The following is a 16,704-nucleotide window of genomic DNA, read 5'->3' as shown; positions in this document are numbered from 1 at the left end:
TGAATTCTACTTGATTTGGTGGTGCCTCATTCTCTTCCAAAGATAGTAATCTGTTTCTTGAAAGAGATCTGTTGGAGCAGGTATGTGTCAGAGACTGTGATTCCTTTTTTTTTTTTTTTTGAGACAGAGTCTCGTTCTGTCACCCAGGCTGGAGTGCAGTGGTGTTACCTCTGTTCACTGCAACCTCCGCCTCCCAGGTTCAAGCGATTCTCCTGCTTCAGCCTCCCAAATAGCTGGGATTATAGGCTCCTGCCACCACACCTGGCTGATTTTTTTTTTTTTTTTTTTTGAGACAGAGTCTTGTTCTGTTGCCCAGGCTAGAGTGCAGTAGCGTGATCTCAGCTCACTGTAACCTCCGCCTCCTGGGTTCAAGCAATTCTCCTGCCTCAGCCTCCCAAGTAGCTGGGATTACAGGTGCATGTCACCATGCTTGGCTAAGTTTTTTCTGTATTTTTAATAGAGATGGTTTCACCATGTTGGCCAGGCTGGTCTCAATCTCCTGACCTTAAGTGATCTGCCTGCCTCGGCCTCCCAAAGTGCTAGGATTACAGGAGTGAGCCACTGCGCCCGGCGGAGACCATCATTCTTAACTATCTTCAAAGACCCTAAGAAAGCCCAGGTGGCCAGTTGGCTCAGGACGAGGTTATAGGCTACTCTGGACAAATGATGGCCAAGATCCACAATTTGATGAAAACAAAATGTCAAGCATAGGAATAGTCCTTTATGTGATATTCCAAAGAAACACATTTATTTACATAAGCTTCAGAGTATACTTGTCTAAGTCAGTTTAATTTCCCTGAGCAAGTGAGAATATTCCTACTGATTTGATAAGTCAGTGAAGCAGAGGCTGATATTCAATTACCAGCTTTGTTTATTGACCCAAGACCTGACCATACCTACTCTGCAATAAGTCTGAGGACAGGAATGTCACCACATCACCAAAGACACTGAATCGGTCTGGGTGGTCAACTCTGGGCCAGTCTGTCACTGATACTATTCCCTATGTTGACAAGGATATGTCCCAGACTTTTCAGCAAAAGCTTCAAATACATTTTACTTCAAAGTATAAGCTGAAACACCCGAAGGCATCGTGCCTCTGGCAAGCCTCTTGAGGCATCTGCAGCCTTTCTATATTTTGACAGCTAGTACACTGTGCTAAAAGATTTTCAAGTTACATTTCTGTACCTGCTGAGGAAATGGTAATTTCAGTGTCAAGTTCCTGAGCAGAGAAATACTATTGGAACTGTTGATGGAATTTGGGGTAAAATGTTTCAGAAAACAGTTTCTCTTTTTCCAGAAGTCTTTACATGCTAACCAAGAATCCCACCTCAGCAAAAGTAGTGTACTTCCATATGCTTACTTGGCTGACTTTAGGGTACAAATGGTGAGCCTGACAGGAATGGGCTCTAGAGAATCTCATCTGGTTTCAGTTTTTATGCTTACCTTGATTGTCTTAGCCAGGCCCTTATACTATGCAGACTGCAATAGCTCCATAGGCCAAGGATTCCAATTTCTATTCCTTGGATTAAGAGTGAGAGAGCACAGCTGTGGGAGGATACCTCCATTCCCATCGCTGGCTTACATGCCAGGAAAAAAGACAAAATACTTGCCTGGGCAGGTTGTAGAGAGGGGCCATCCTGAAACAGGCCACCACTGCCCGTTTCCGTTGCTTTGATAACAGTTTGTGCCAGACGGCCTTCTTGGACCTCAAAGGCTGTTCCACCTGAGAAGAGATCACATCGGTTGGTGCACATTAGGCTGATCTTCTGGTGGCAGAAGCTAGTCACCTGTAGCCCAGACTTCTTCATTCTGGAAGAATTTTGGCTTCTCAACTGTAGTTAGCAAAATGCACCCAGGAGCAGATGATTTCAGTTGTGAAAGTCTTAGGTTTTCCTCTTTCTCCCAGTTGCTTTTAGTCATTTATTCCCTAATAGCAGCTTAACTAACAGTAGTGGACTTAAATAGGGCATTTGAGCTAATGGCAAGAATGCACAAAACACTGGCAGGGGAAATAATGGAGAGGTCTCCTATCACAGGGCATCGAGATGGCACGTGGGGGTGATCTGGGATGATCCTTGGTCCTTGTTTTCTCAGTCTTATGAGGGCACTTGTACCTGAATGCTGAGTGTGGAGGGGAGCTTTGTATGGTCCAGGGTGTTTCTGCTTCCCCATTCCTCAGGGCAGATGCTCCTTACCTGTTCCAGGTGGAAGACAGCTGCTGAAATTCTCTGCACACGCTCCACTGTCTTTTCCGGATTGAAAGGTTCTTCACTCTTCAGAACATCCTTGTAGAGGTTCAGTTGCCATTTTACAGCTGGGTCATCAGACTGAAAATTGAAGCATACTCATAAGATGAGGAATTTCCTGTACTTCTTATACTGAAGAAGCCTTTTGGTCCTACCATGGTTCTGTAGGAGTCAAGACTCTCCTTCTATTATCACTTCACTTTCATTTTCTCAATTATCTTCTGGAACACTGTAGATACTGTATAGGAACTTCTCATTCTAACTCCTATGTCTCTTAATGCTTCTGTCATATTTTCTATCTCGTCATCTCTCTGTGTTGCATTTTGGATGATTTCCTTAAAGCACTCTTCTAATTTATAAATTATTGTTTCAGCTATGTGTAGCCTATTTTTAACCCATTTATTAGGTTTTTAATTTCAATGATTATTTTTTATTTTTATAATGACTATGAAGTCTTTTTTCAAACCCATCTCCCCTTCTTTTTAAAAATATAACATCCAATTATTGCTTTATGGGTTCGATTAATTCCTTTATATCTCTTTAAATGTTTTAATTTTATTTACATTTACATCTCTTTCAATTGCTCCTTATGGTTGAATTATTCTCTTTGTTTCCTATGCTGACTCTCTACTAGTAGATTTCCTGATGTGCTTTGTAATCAAAAAAAAATATGAGCTTGTCTTCAGGAGGAATTTTACCTATTGGTATCTCAGCTTGTATTTTAGAAGGTGGAGGCTCTCCAAGTGGTTATTCCACTTGGGTTTCTCTGTGGAATATTTGTGGGTTTTACTGGTTCAAGGCTAACTTTATGGAAGTTTCTTGCTCTGTATTTATGCATAGTGTGGGTAATTAGGTCCCACACTCCTCTTCCTTTACAATGATTAAAAAACCAAGCCCCTAAGATTTTTTTTCTGGCCCTAGAGATTTCTTTTTATTGCCTTTTTTTTCCTAGTATATTTTATCCACCATTCCTATATGTTTGGGGCGGAAAGGAAAGACTTTGTGTGTTGGCTTAGTTCTCCATCTCAGGGCATAATGTATCTGAGGTAAGAGTTGTTCAGATTCACAGGCTTTAAAACATCTCAAATAGCCTTTATCATGAAAATTATATTTTTTTATTGTACCAACTAGAAACAAAATTATTTTGTTTCAAAATCTCTTTAGAGCAGGAAGTGCTAAAACTTCCCCCAGGTGTCCACTGCACTGTTTAACAAGACTTACAGTCAGTAAATTCTGACACCTAAGCTACACGCCACTGCTATGGCCTGACGTTCACATAATGGGAAATGGGAATAGATGCTTTATTGGGTATCCTCTTTGTAATCCTCTTTGTAATAACTAAGAACAAAAATTAAGGGCAAAAACAAACAAACAAACAAACAAACAAACATACATTAAGGGCAGTTTATGTACCAGTACTTTTTTTTTTTTTTGAGACGGAGTCTTGCTCTGTTACCCAGGCTGGAGTGCAGTGGCCTGATCTCGGCTCACCACAACCTCCGTCTCCCAGGTTCACACCATTCTCCTGCCTCTGCCTCAGCCTCCCAAGTAGCTGAGACTACAGGCGCCCGCCACCACGCCCGGCTAACTTTTTGTATTTTTAGTACAGACGGGGTTTCACCGTGTTAGCCAGGATGGTCTCAATCTCCTGACCTCGTGATCCGCCCACCTCGGCCTCCCAAAGTGCTGGGATTACAGGTGTGAGCCACCGCGCCCAGCCATGTACCAGTAAATTTTTAAAAAAAAATTTAAAAAAGAGAGAGCTAGTCCTACCAATTAAACACAAATACCCCCAAACTGTTTTTGGAACACATATAAGAAGCATGAGTAAATGAAGTGAAAAGCTGGAACCCTGCAGCCAGAAGGAAAGCCGGTGTGAGTTCTCACTGCTGTCCTGAGTCATCACCTTTTCCTGCAAGTGCAAGTTGTTCCGCAGATGTTCTCTGACCTCTTCATCTGTGTCCCTCTGTGGAAAGAGATGTCAGATTTTATTCCCGGAGATCACCATGGAACTGTCAAGTAGCATATGGGGATGTATGGAGAGTCAACGCACAGTTTCACTGGGATCTTTATCAGAAGAACAAAAGAAAAAATATTCCGGAGATTTGTCCCAAAGGGCACACACGGACTTCCAAACCAGTTTTAAAGATGAGGGCGTGTTGCCTCCATACACACTGGTTTCTGCGCATCTGCTCCCCGCCCCCCAGGGGAGGAGGACTAACCCTTCAGGGGCTGAATGCTTATCACTGCACCATGTGGATCACACACTCAGCCCAGGCAGACGGGCAGCTTACATGGCTGTATCGCGATTTTGCGAGGGAGATCAGCTCCTGGTCGCCTGGAGTACACATATTCAAACCAATGGGCAGCATTTTCTTGAGTGCAGCCACGATGAGGGAGGTCTGGATGGAATACAAGTCTCCCCGCCGCTTTGTCTTCTTCCGCTCCTGGTCTTGTCCTCCAGACTAGGAGATGATGTTGAAATAAACAGAGAGGGGTTCAGTGATTCTCCCAAAGGAACGGCCTCCTGTCAGAGGCAGCCTGCCTCCTTGTGGCCCTGTCAGTATAGGGTGGGCCTTACTACACTTCAAAGGACAGTGAAAAGAGTGTGTTGAACAAAGACGAATTAGGTAGCCATCAAAGACCAGCCATAACCCTGAGCCTTCTCCTTCTGCGCATGCACACAGAGCCACATAACTAAACACACATCACCGACGCCTATTGCTCACTCAGTTCCGGACTGAACAAGTAAACTGGTGTTCTACAAAAAGAATGATTTGTTAACTGACAAAAATGGCCCCAGAAAAGTTCTGAGAATTCTGATGCTGGGGGATCACTAAAAATATGAAAGAGTATCCAGCACAGAATAATTGCTCTGTGTTTTCAAAGCTGAAGCTGGTGTTTTGGAACACCTCACCATGGCCTCCCGACCATGAGCCAATGCAAATTCTTACAGGAAAAGGAAAATCTAAAGCAGGGCTGCTTTGGAATCCAGCTGAAGGAAAGTTAGGAGAAAAACTGAAGACATGAAAGAAAGGAACTCCTCAGTCCATGGAAGCTCATACCCATCTTTGACTTATACCTTCTCATCCTTTTCAGAGAGAGTTCACTCAGTGAAGTTGCAGGTTTAAGAGAGGAATCCAGGCCAGGTGCGGTGGCGCATGCCTGTAATCCCAGCTACTTGGGAGGCTGAGGCAGGACAATCGCTTGAACCCATGAGACAGAGGTTGCAGCGAGCCGAGATCACGCCATGGCACTACAGCGTGGGTGACAGAGCAAGACTCGGCCTCAACAACAACAACAACAAAACATTAAAAAAAAAAAAAAAAAAGAGAGAGAGGAATCCAATGCACTGGGCTATGACACAATAGCAGCCCCAGGGAACCCACTGAGAACCCTCAGCATCCACGGCACAGGGAAATCACTTGGTGGGTCCAGGTGGGCTCAAGGAAACAAGGCGGTGACTCAGATTTCATGATTCCAGGTTCCAGAGACACAGAGCTGCTCACGTGGTACGTGCTTGCAGGACTGGGCCTCAGTGGGCACTTGCTGGAAGTGGGGAGGGCTGGGTAGCCAGAATCAAGTCAGGGACTCTGGGAAAGAAGCGGTGCTCACCAAAGCTTTACGCTATGAGGTACCATGGAGTGTTTGCAGCAATGAGGGGACAGCACTGTGGTTTATCATGACATACAGATACAGGGCTCTGGAAGCACGCCAGATGCCTCCCCTGGAAGTGGCACGCAAGATCTGGTCCTCCTGGGCTTGGGCAGAATTCATTTTATGGGAAAAGGCTTTTGGAAGAGAAGAGTAGGGTCAGAATTAACAGTGTCTTGGGACTAATCTCTTTAAATTGCTTTCCAAAAGGCGAAAGAGTTTCATAATTATTAATGGACACTCTTAAGAACAGTGTAATTTCTTTCAGCACTTGTGGCGGCTGCAATTTCAGGTGGTTGCATCACAGTATCACAGAAACCACAGCAAAATCCCTGGCCAGCAGAACCCTAGTCTGGCCAAACATTGCCAGAAAATTCTATTGTTGCAGGGGTATCTTGCGTCCAGTGCTCCAAAACACCAGTCAGCCCTTGGACAGCAGTGGGAGGGGCAGTAAGAAATATAAACAGAGGGAAAGAAATGGGGCTAAGAGAAGGAGCCTCCTGGTGTTCCAGAAAACAGCAGGAAGGGAAAGCTGCTTCACACACAGACTGAGCGTGTGCCAACTATCACTGGCTGAGTGCTTGCTGGGCTCCTCACCATTCTACCACCAGGTTTAAAATTCTAAAGGTTGCGACTCAGGGCAAAACTCATTTATAGTCGAAATTACCCTTGAAAATGTTTCAAATCATCCATAAAACATAGAACCTGGTTATATGTATATAAACTATGTGATATCACGTATGTATACATGTAAAATATAAATGGTAATACACAGTATGCAATCGAATAAATATGCTCAAAAGTGTAATTACGTGGATTTGATTACACAATCTAAATTATTTCCTGCTCACTCTCTATTTGATTGGGCCAATCTCATGTCCTTCTAATCATAAATGCTGCATATGCAATATGACTCCAATGTGCCTGCTACTTATATAAAACATTTATGATCCTCCCAAAACCCCTGAAACCAGTCAGTTTTGTAAATGAGAATGGGATTGCTCAGGGAAGTTAAGCAATTTTTCCAAGATCACATAGCAAGTAAGCCTCTGAGCTAACCAGATGCAAGTCTATCTCGCCTGGGCTCCATCTTCCTTTCCTAACTAAGAGCTGCGTGTGCCCTAGTTCCTCCACATCTCCCCTTCTTCACTGCATAGTGTAGAGCAGAGGTTTGGGAGAATGGCAGCCGACACACATTAATTAAGAGGAAGAGAAAATGTTCAGTTATAACCTGAAACTGTAACTGGGAAATTCTCCCAGGGTAGGCTTTGGAAGACTCTCTTTGAATCATGGGAGCCTTATACAGGATGCAGGACACCTACAGTGTGAAAGGGCTGAGACCACTAATAAAAAATAGGACTCTGACCCTGGGTAGCACCACGAGGAGTAGTCCCCTGGGTTCTCAAGCCCTGTCAGTCATCCCTATCTCTGTTAGTGTGGTGGCTGCCGAGAGGGCAGCTGGAGAAGGGAGCAGAGATAGCAAGGAGACCTCGGTTAGGGTGAGGCTTGGCTGGCTTCCCCGGCTTCCCCATTCCAAGGGTGGGTAGGCCTACATTCACTCTTTGACAGGCAGTTGTCTTCCCTGGAGCAGGCCTGGGGGACCTCCAGGCGGGAAAATCCATTCTCTACCACCCCCATGGTGATCACAGTGCAGAGGGGGCCAGAGCCCGGCACCTCTAATACTAGGACAGAAAAGACACGTCATGCATTTGACCTGTACCTTTACTTGCATGGCCTGTGTGGAAAGACAAAAGAAAAGAAACAAGGAGAAGAGTCAGTCAGTAAAAGCAGGGCTCTAAGGCAAAAGGCACCATATGTTAGTTATAGCTTCTTAGCCCCCATTTCTCAGCCAACACAACAGAAACTCAATGGTTCTGGAAGCCAGTTGAGCATAGCATGAAGAGTGAGTGGGAGGTTAGGATGGAAGTTAATTTGGTCAAAGGACTTATACCCAGACCAAACAATCAACCCAGAAGCAGCCTTCTAGAGTGTGTGGCACTCAGACCCGACCCAGGCTGGTCTTTAGATCTAGAGAGTTCTTGTGGGTGGCCAGAACTGAAGTCTTTGCCCCTTCTACCTCCCTCCTTTCACCTGGGTGGGCTATAGACAATCTGTTGTATAACCAAAGAGCAGAGTTTTCTTTCTTCCTTCTACCCACCACATTAGCAACATCTGTGGCTACAGAGAGGGGAGAACTGACCTAAGGGGCAATGCTTGTGCTTATGTTAAAAGAAGGTAGCGTAGGCCACAGTGGCTCATGCCTGTCATCCCAGCACTTTGGGAGGCCGAGGTGGCAAGATCACTTGAAGCTAGGAATTTGAGACCAGCCTGAGCAACATAGCCACTGTCTTTACAAAAAAAAAAAAAAATTCAGCTGGGTGTGGGGTTGTGTGTTATAGTCCCAGCTACTAGGGATGCTGAGGCAGGAGGATCGCTTGAGCTCAAGAGTTCAAGGCTGCAGTGAGCTATGATCACACCAGTGCACTCCAGACTGGGCAACAGAGGGACACCCTGTCTTAAAAAAAAAAAAAGGAAAAAAGAAGATTTATTAACAAAAAGTACTCTAGGAATATCCAAAGTGATTCAGAATCACCAAAAAACCTAAAAGATGGAGCGTTTCCCTTCTTGTGCTACAACCTTTAAACATGCCTTAGGTTGGGGCTACAGATTCTAGTTTTATTTGTTCTGTCACATATTGCTAAGATTAGTTAACTCACTGCAATTTTCTAATGAAATGCTTTTAAAAATTTGGTGGTGGAAACGTTTTATTTTCTTGCGTTTTCTTCCTTTTTTTTTTTCTTAAGAGACAGGGTTTCGCTATGTTGCCCAGGCTCGTATTGAACTCTCGGCCTCAAGTGATCCTCCCTCCTTAGCTTCCTAAAGTACTGGGATTACAGGCACGACACTGGCCCATGTTTTATTTTCTTAATAGAAATGTACAGATTCTTATACCTTCAAAATCATTGCATCTCCCCACGCTTACATCATAAACTATCACCAGTGGTTATCTTATAATGATTAGACAGTTGATTTTGTGTGTAGAACTTAAAAGACAGACACAGGCTTTTGTGGGGTGAGTGACTTTGAGGACACATCACAAGGGGACAGCACAGGGAGAGCTGGTGTCAGACTTCTGGACAAAGGCAAGCCCGGGCCATGGGAAGCTCTTGTCCCACTGAGAAGGTAACCGAAGCAATGACAAGTCAACCCAACATTAGACAGAGAAAAAACAGAAGACTTTCTGTAAGTCGGTCTGAGAATGCGAAGCAAGAGATAGAGTGAGAGAAGGAGGGCAGGAGGGAAGGAAGAAATGGTGGACAGAGGCAGAGGTGGAGAGAAGGGAGGGGAAGGGAGGAGAAAAGGGGAGGGTGAAAGGGGAGGGGGAGAGGAGAAGAAGAGGATGAGTGTGCGTTCCCGTGTGCACATTTATGAGAGAGAGAGACAGAGTATGCACACATGCCTGTGAGTAAACAGCAGAAGTGCAAGAACAAAGGGAATAAAAACAAAAGAGAAGGCCGGGTGTGGTGGCTCAAGCCTGTAATCCCAGCACTTTGGGAGGCCGAGGCGGGCGGATCATGACGTCAGGAGATCGAGACCATCCTGGCTAACACAGTGAAACCCTGTCTCTACTAAAAATACAAAAAATTAGCCGGGCGTGGTGGCGGGCACCTGTAGTCCCAGCTACTTGGGAGGCTGAGGCAGGAGAATGGTGTGAACCAGGGAGGCGGAGCTTGCAGTGAGCCGAGATCGCACCACTGTACTCCAGCCTGGGCGACAGAGCAGGACTCCGTCTCAAAGAAGAAGAAAAAAAAAAAAAAAAGAGAGAGAAAAGTGGTAGGGGAGGGAATGAAAGAGGGAGAATGAGCAAGAAAATTCACTCACACGTGTAAGTGTGAATGCCCTTGAAAAACTCAAAGATAGCTTCAAAAATATTTCCTGTCCTTTTTCGATCCACTGAAATCACACTTCATGGGGTGGAGTGGCTTTGAACAATGAGGCACTCTAATATTTCCTGCATCACGACACTTTTTTGATTTTATTGTTTATAACCTTGGTCAAGGAACTGGCATTTCTTGGGCTGAACACATTCTAACTTACCATTCCCTTCTGAGGAAGCTGCTGTCATTTTTCCAGAAACAAAAAAAGTTTCAAAACAAAAAACACTTGCTCAGCTTAGTTACATTTAGCTTAACATACATTTGCAAACTGGTGTTATATACACAAAATATACAATGAGCTCTCACAAGCAAAATCTGCTTTGACTGCCCCAGAAAAATAGCGTTATCTTTGAACTGACCTTCAACTAATCAAGTAGTAACAGCGTGGCTCACTGTATATTTTCTCCACTTCCTTTCCATTCGCAACGGCATATGTGGTGTGTGTGGCATAGGGCATTCATATACACATACCTCCACAAAGCCTGCCATATGCACTGAGGCTAACTTCATTTTTACAACACCAGAATTCAGTTAAGAGTGGAGATAAAAGCAAGTACAGGTCACTGTTCAGATCAGGTAGTAGAGAGAACATCTAATTGCAGGGAGGCAAAGGCAATAGGGAGTCAACTGATAAGGAAGAATACTCCTGCCCTAACCCCTCAGTATGTAGTTCCACATCCAAAAAATACCAGAAATGGCTAGGAGATATTTCTTATCGGAGGCATGGTATCTTTTTGTCTGAAATAATGCACTGTATTTCTCAAATATTACTCTATCCTAGAGATACTGTTGAAACTGACCTTAAACCAGAACATCTTAGTAGAGCTGGGAGAAGTCAGGAAGTAAGCTCAATCCCATTCTGCAGATTGGTAAATGGGACCCAGAGGAGTTAAGTGAATGATGCAAGGTGTAGCTTTAGCCAACAGCTGGGCCAGGGGCAAGACTTAGCTTCCTTTCGCCTTCTGGTCTATTTACCACTACACAGTGTCTTAACTCAGGCAACAGAACAATATGAACTCTTGTTACCCTGAGGACCATGGCAACTATTATTCAACATCTAGGGAGTGTCCTCTCATCCATTCGTTAAGTTGTAATTTTGACCCTATCCCATGTGGCTCAGAAATACTTGGCATATGACAACAACAGAAATGAAACAAAAGACTTTGCTTCTACAGACTAACCGGACCAGCAAGGAAGAAGACCACTTTCTGAAAATGACCATCCTTTGTCAAGAAACAAACACCCGCTTTTCCTCATTCAGTGATGTGAATGAACAAAATGTCAGGTTAGTTTGTTAGTAGGTGGGTTTTGAAATGCCATTTTCTGCTACCTCATCTTTGTCCAAATGTAAACCCAAGGACCTTGAGCATTCATTCATTACCAGAGGCTTGAGATGTCTTTGCCATTTCTGCTCATCCAGGATCCAAGTCCTGGTATCAGATTCATTTCCATTGCTTTGTGATTGTTCCCTGACAATCCCAATGGATGCTAGCTGGTTCAGTCCTAAGCCATTGAATCTACCCCAATTTGAAGATAAGGCCGGGAGCTGTGGCTCACGCCTGTAATCCCTGCACTCTGGGAGGATGAGGTGGGTGGATCACTTGAGGTCAGGAGTTCGAGACCAGCCTGGCCAACATGGCGAAACTCCATCTCTACTAAAAATACAAAAATTAGCCAGGTGTGGTGGCGTGCGCCTGTAGCTCCAGCTTTTGGGAGGCTGAGGCAGAAGAATTGCTTGAATCTGGGAGGCAGAGCTCACAGAGAGCCGAGATCATGCCACTGCACTCCAGCTGGGCAACAGAGTGAGACTCCATCTCAAAAAATTAAAAAAAAAAGATAGTATGGAATCTGTCTGGGATTTATTGACTTTCTGCAGGTAGATGAGTCAAAGAAGAGGCTGTGATACCTGTAAGAAGACCTGCAGAGGCAACTTAAGATAAGCTAGCTGTCCCCGAAAGGTGGATTTGAAAAAACTCAACCTCGTCTACATCATATGACAGTAGATGTGTTTACCAAAAGACAAATGCAAAATGAATTCTGAAAAATCAAATAAAACTAAAGCACAAAGGATACCTTTGCAGCAAAGATTCCTCATGAATGTGATTGCTCTACTTTGTATGTACGTAATTTTGTTTGTCAAACTTTATCAAGCAATGCATACTAAAAGTGTATACTTAGAGTATACTATAAACTCTAACAGTCAATTTCTATATGTTGGAAGAAATGTGTCAACATAAATAAAAGCAACAGAAAGCTCAGAATGATCGCAGCTGACTAGAGCTAGCTATGCTTGGTGGAGCTCCAGATGCTAAAGTTTTCGCTTTTGGTGTCATACCAGCCCCTTGTCTGCAGCTTATATATGAGACCTCCATCCCAAATGGTTATTTGGAAAGATGCCCAAGGGCTTTGTTACAAACCCATGATTCTCATCTTTCCAGAGCTGACTTTTACTTCTGAGGGTCCCCATGCACACTCCACCCTGATGCTCCTCAAAGGCAGCACTGTACCAGCAATGAGAGAGATGCACATCTCAGGTATTAATGTCACTTATACTTGACATATAAAATCAACCCTCACTGAGGCACATTTCTCAGGGGTACAGAGTCAAGGTAAGTCATAACAGCTGGTAACAAAACATCACATTTAAGTAGGCTTTGCTTTTGTATGTACACTTGAAGGAGTACGTCTGAGAAGTCTCTTAAATCAAAATAATGAAGCCTCAGCGTGCAGAGCCGACGCAAGAGGAGGTGGGAGGCTAACTTGTGCCCCTTGTATTCCTGCTATGCTCCTCTCTATAGGTTAGTCTTTCTTCAGACAGATGTCCGATATGCCTTTTCAAACATTTCCTAAAGGAAATGGACAAATGTTTGGCTTTCTGAGTGCAACTATCATGAAAAAGAAACAGAGGGCATTAAGAGATCAACACAGCTGAAATAAAACAGGTATTGGATATTACAGATAGGAGGAAAACAAGCATGATGTAAGAGTACGTGCTGTCAAAATCTACAAAGCAAGGTAATTTTTTCCTAGCTATCAAAAGGTGGTTCTAGGCATGTGTATTGCTGTATCCTCACTACACAGGAAGAAGTTCTATTTTAAAATCACTAACAGCAGCTTTTGTTTTGGAGACCTCTCAAATGCCTTAGGCAAGTCTTGAAACTTAAGCTTTTTGACATACAAGCAGCTATTTATTCATAAAATGTGATGACCATGCTTATTTGAGAGCAGTTTCTTCTGGCTCGTTCTCAAAGAAACAGCAGCAGAGACTGTTGGTCATGTAGTTTGACCTAAATGCAGTACGGTGTTAATCCCCAGAAAGTATGAAACAGATCCAAGTCATGGCTGAGGTTAGGGTTGAAGAGTTTTTGGAATTGATTTCTAAGGACTTACTTTTGACATCTTGCTTTTGCTGTCTCCAGTTAAAAATGCCAAATTATTAATTTCATTCTGAATCACAAAATTTTGCTCTTCTCTCTTGAAGTTCTAAGTGGGAAAGAATTGAAACAGCAAACATTACAAGAAAGTTCTGTAAACCAAAAATAAGATTCTAAGCTCCCCAAGTAACGGAATAGACCCCTCCTCTCAGCCGAGGTGATTCCAAAGACACGTGAAAAACTAATTCATTCCATTATGGGAAGAGGGGGTCAGGCATGTCTCATTATACCCTCTCCCTTTTAGAGTTTAGGCACATATGACCAGCATCAACATTAAAATAGAGATCTTAAGACAAAATAGACTCTTGGTAGTAATAAGACACCAAATTCCAACCTGACTCTAGTATAGCATCACATGACAGACAGCAGGCCTGGAAGGAAATAAAAATATTTGACCCCAAAATGTATTTATTTGACATTATTTTGAAAGGGCCCTGCAAAGCTGTCTCTGCTGTGGGGAAAATTCACATTCTGTAGAGAATCCCCTTCCCTTTCCTGGTCTTTTCCTGATCTTGAAGAGATTAAATGAGAGTCTAGCACCTTTTAAATGTCTAAATATGAAACATTTGTCACCTGTTGTCTCTATGGGTGGCCACATATGAGACTTCATCTGCATAATAAGAATGTTGGTCTGACAATCCTTTGTCTTAACTCAGACACCGTTTCTATTGATTCCAGGTTTTTAGATAATAACTCTTTCTGATTGACAACTGTCAGTCAGAAAATCTTTGAATCCACCTATGACCTGGACGCCCACTACCTACCCCTGTAAGATGTCCTGCCTTTCTGGGCTAAACCAAGGTATACTTTACATGTATTGATTTATGCCTCTGTCAGTAACTTCTGTCCCACTGAAGTGTATAAAGTCAAGCTGTAACCCAACCACCTTGGGCACATGTTCTCAGGACCTCCTGAGGCAGTGTCATGGGTCGTGGTCCTCACATGTGGCTCAGAATACATTTCTTCGAATATTTTACTGTTGGCTTTTTTTCATCAACAGTTTTCCACGGTCTGCAGCTTTCACAACCATTCTAAACCCAGGGCCCAAATGTGTTCTTACATGAGATTTACACCACAGAATGAAGACTTCTGCCACCATGCGGAAGAGCTGGTCAGAATCAGCATCAGGACTTTTCAGCCAGTTAGATCTGGGTCCAAAAGTAAATAAACAGGCATTTGAAATTCAGTAGAGATTAAAATATTCACACTCTAAAAATTATACCAGCACTGGAGACATACATTTATCCAGATCAAACTGCATTCTCATATGAAAGCAATAATCAGGGAGACTAAATAGCAATATATTCCTTAAACATTCAGATATAGGTACATAATTAGAGTAGATTTCTTGAAAGATCTACAGTAATTATTTCCATTTGCCAAAGGATTCAAGAATTGCCTTAGCAAACTGATGTCAGAAATCGACATTTCAAAATGGTCAAAAGTAGGTTATGTTTTTTCTTTAAACTGATTAGTTGATTAAGGTTAAGCTCTAAGTTTTGGGACATGCTTCCTTTAATATATAAGGCTAGCAAAGGTAGGCAAGTCTTGGTCACTAAGACATCTAACCTGGTCCTGGACACTTGTCATTGTCAAACCTCTGAAATTCTGAGCACTCTCAACAGTTCATGTCCCACCCCTTTTCCTTTAAAGCCAGTTTTATCAATGAAATTTGTAAGATAATATGTTTTTCGCTGTGATTTGAAGTGTATAAGCAGAGATCAATTATCTTCATCTATGCCCTCTAAAATGGTTTGAAGATTCCCTACAAATAAGCATTACTCATAAAACAAAAAAATAGACTGGTTAAGAAATTTTGCAGTAGCACCAAGAAGGTTGAACTGCAGTTTCAGGAATTCAGTCGTTTCTCTAAGCTGTCTTGCCGTGAAGTAGCTTACATATTCAAATTAAATTATATTTCCAAGGGCTGGGTGAGTTGCCATTTTCAAATGTCTACATAGAGTAACTAAACAAACAAACAAAAAACCCCCACTGTTTCTCTGCTCAACGCTTCTGATATCAAATGTGGGGTTTTTCTCACATAAAACAATTCTTCAACTCTTCAGACACTGACTGAATGTCCTACAATTCAAATATGACACTAACTACCTGGATTTAGTGCAGTCCCCACAGGTTAAGGGCTCAGACCCACAAGCCTGCCCCTCACTTCAGATGCCGGTCTCAAGTCCCAGGTTGTGACCTGTACTTCTGACCAACTGGCTATAACCAACCCCTTCATTGGGTTCAATAATTTGCTAGAGCAGCTCACAGAACTCAGGAAAATACTTGATTTACTATTACCAGTTTATTATAAAGGACACAACCAAGGAATAGCCAAATGAAAGAGATGCATAGGGCAAGGTATGGGGGAAGAGGCAGGGAGTTTCCATGCCTTCTCCAGGCACACCACCTTCCCAGTACCTTTGTGTGTTCAGCAACATGGACGTCTCCAAACCCCATAGCTTAGGGTTTTTTTGTGGTGGCTCCATTATATAGGCATGATTGGTGAAACCCCTGGCCATTGGTTATTAAACTCAATATCCAGCCCCTCTCCTCTCCCCAGAGGTTAGGGGAGGGTAAATGGTGGTGGGGCTGAAAGTCCCAACCCTCTAATTGCAGAGTTGGTACATCTGGCAACCAGTCTCCATTCTCCAAGAGTCACCTCATTAGAATAAACTCAGGTATGGTTGAAAGGGGCTTATTATGAATAACAGAAGATGTTCCTTTCATCCCTTTCCCTCAGGAAATTCTATGAGTTTTGGGAGCTCTGTGCCAGGAAGCAGAGATGAAGAGCAAATACATATTTATTATATCGAAATATCACAGTGACACAAGTTAAACTATTGTCTTCCTTTAGTTAAAAAAAAATGCGTCTCAAAATGGTCTAAAAAACCTGATGCCTCTTGCCTCATGTAGGGTAACAGCTACCAAAAGCCAGTTCCCTAAGCCCTAGGACATCAGAATGAATTGTTGTGGGTAGCCTGTACCTCCTACCCATTCATGAGGAGCACCAGGCTAAGAAATGTAGAGACTCATGAGGCCAAGATCACTTTGGGATCCTTCTCTTATCTCCTGAATTCCTTACTGCCCTTGGTTCCAGTCTCAGGGACATTCTTATCTAATCTCTCGTTTTCAGATTCAAGCAGCCTCTCCTTCATATAGCTGACATTACTGGTTGTCTACTCAATATTCATTCTCCTCTTCTTCCATAGTAACAAACCCCATTTTGTTCAGGGTGGAACTATGCCCTGCTAAAGATCACATTACCCAGCTTCCCTTTAACTATAGCTATGTAACTAAGTTCTGATCAATAAGATGAATGTAGAAGTTGTTGGATGGGCCTCCTGGAAATAAACCTCTAAGAAGGGATCAGATAGCTGAAGGTGTCTTTTTGCCTTTCTCCTGCTGATTTCCTACTTCCTGTCTGGAATG

General features: G+C 43.1%; 1 protein-coding gene across 19 annotated transcripts in view; it reads right to left on the bottom strand.

Moving 5' to 3' along the window:
* RYR3 (ryanodine receptor 3) overlaps window positions 1–16,704 on the bottom strand; it is a 555,136-nt gene that overhangs the window by 50,913 nt on the left and 487,519 nt on the right. For 18 of the 19 annotated variants that reach the window (XR_001751370.2, XM_047432931.1, XM_017022468.2 and 15 more), the window contains 6 exons: window positions 14,333–14,420; window positions 13,229–13,321; window positions 4,541–4,711; window positions 4,153–4,212; window positions 2,196–2,327; window positions 1,611–1,723 (listed from right to left, as the gene is read on the bottom strand). Coding sequence is in view for 18 of the 19 variants with exons in the window: in XM_047432931.1 (XP_047288887.1) it covers window positions 1,611–1,723; window positions 2,196–2,327; window positions 4,153–4,212; window positions 4,541–4,711; window positions 13,229–13,321; window positions 14,333–14,420 (657 nt within the window). In the remaining variant the exon portion in view is untranslated. Of the gene's footprint in view, window positions 1–1,610; window positions 1,724–2,195; window positions 2,328–4,152; window positions 4,213–4,540; window positions 4,712–7,620; window positions 7,636–13,228; window positions 13,322–14,332; window positions 14,421–16,704 lie in introns of all 19 variants that reach the window. The other variant, NM_001036.6, reaches the window with a different exon arrangement.

Source organism: Homo sapiens, chromosome 15 (genome assembly GCF_000001405.40).
Source record: "Homo sapiens chromosome 15, GRCh38.p14 Primary Assembly".
NCBI lineage: Eukaryota > Metazoa > Chordata > Mammalia > Primates > Hominidae > Homo > Homo sapiens.
Note: the sequence above shows the minus strand (reverse complement) of the source record. Positions and strands in the feature narration are given on the sequence as shown.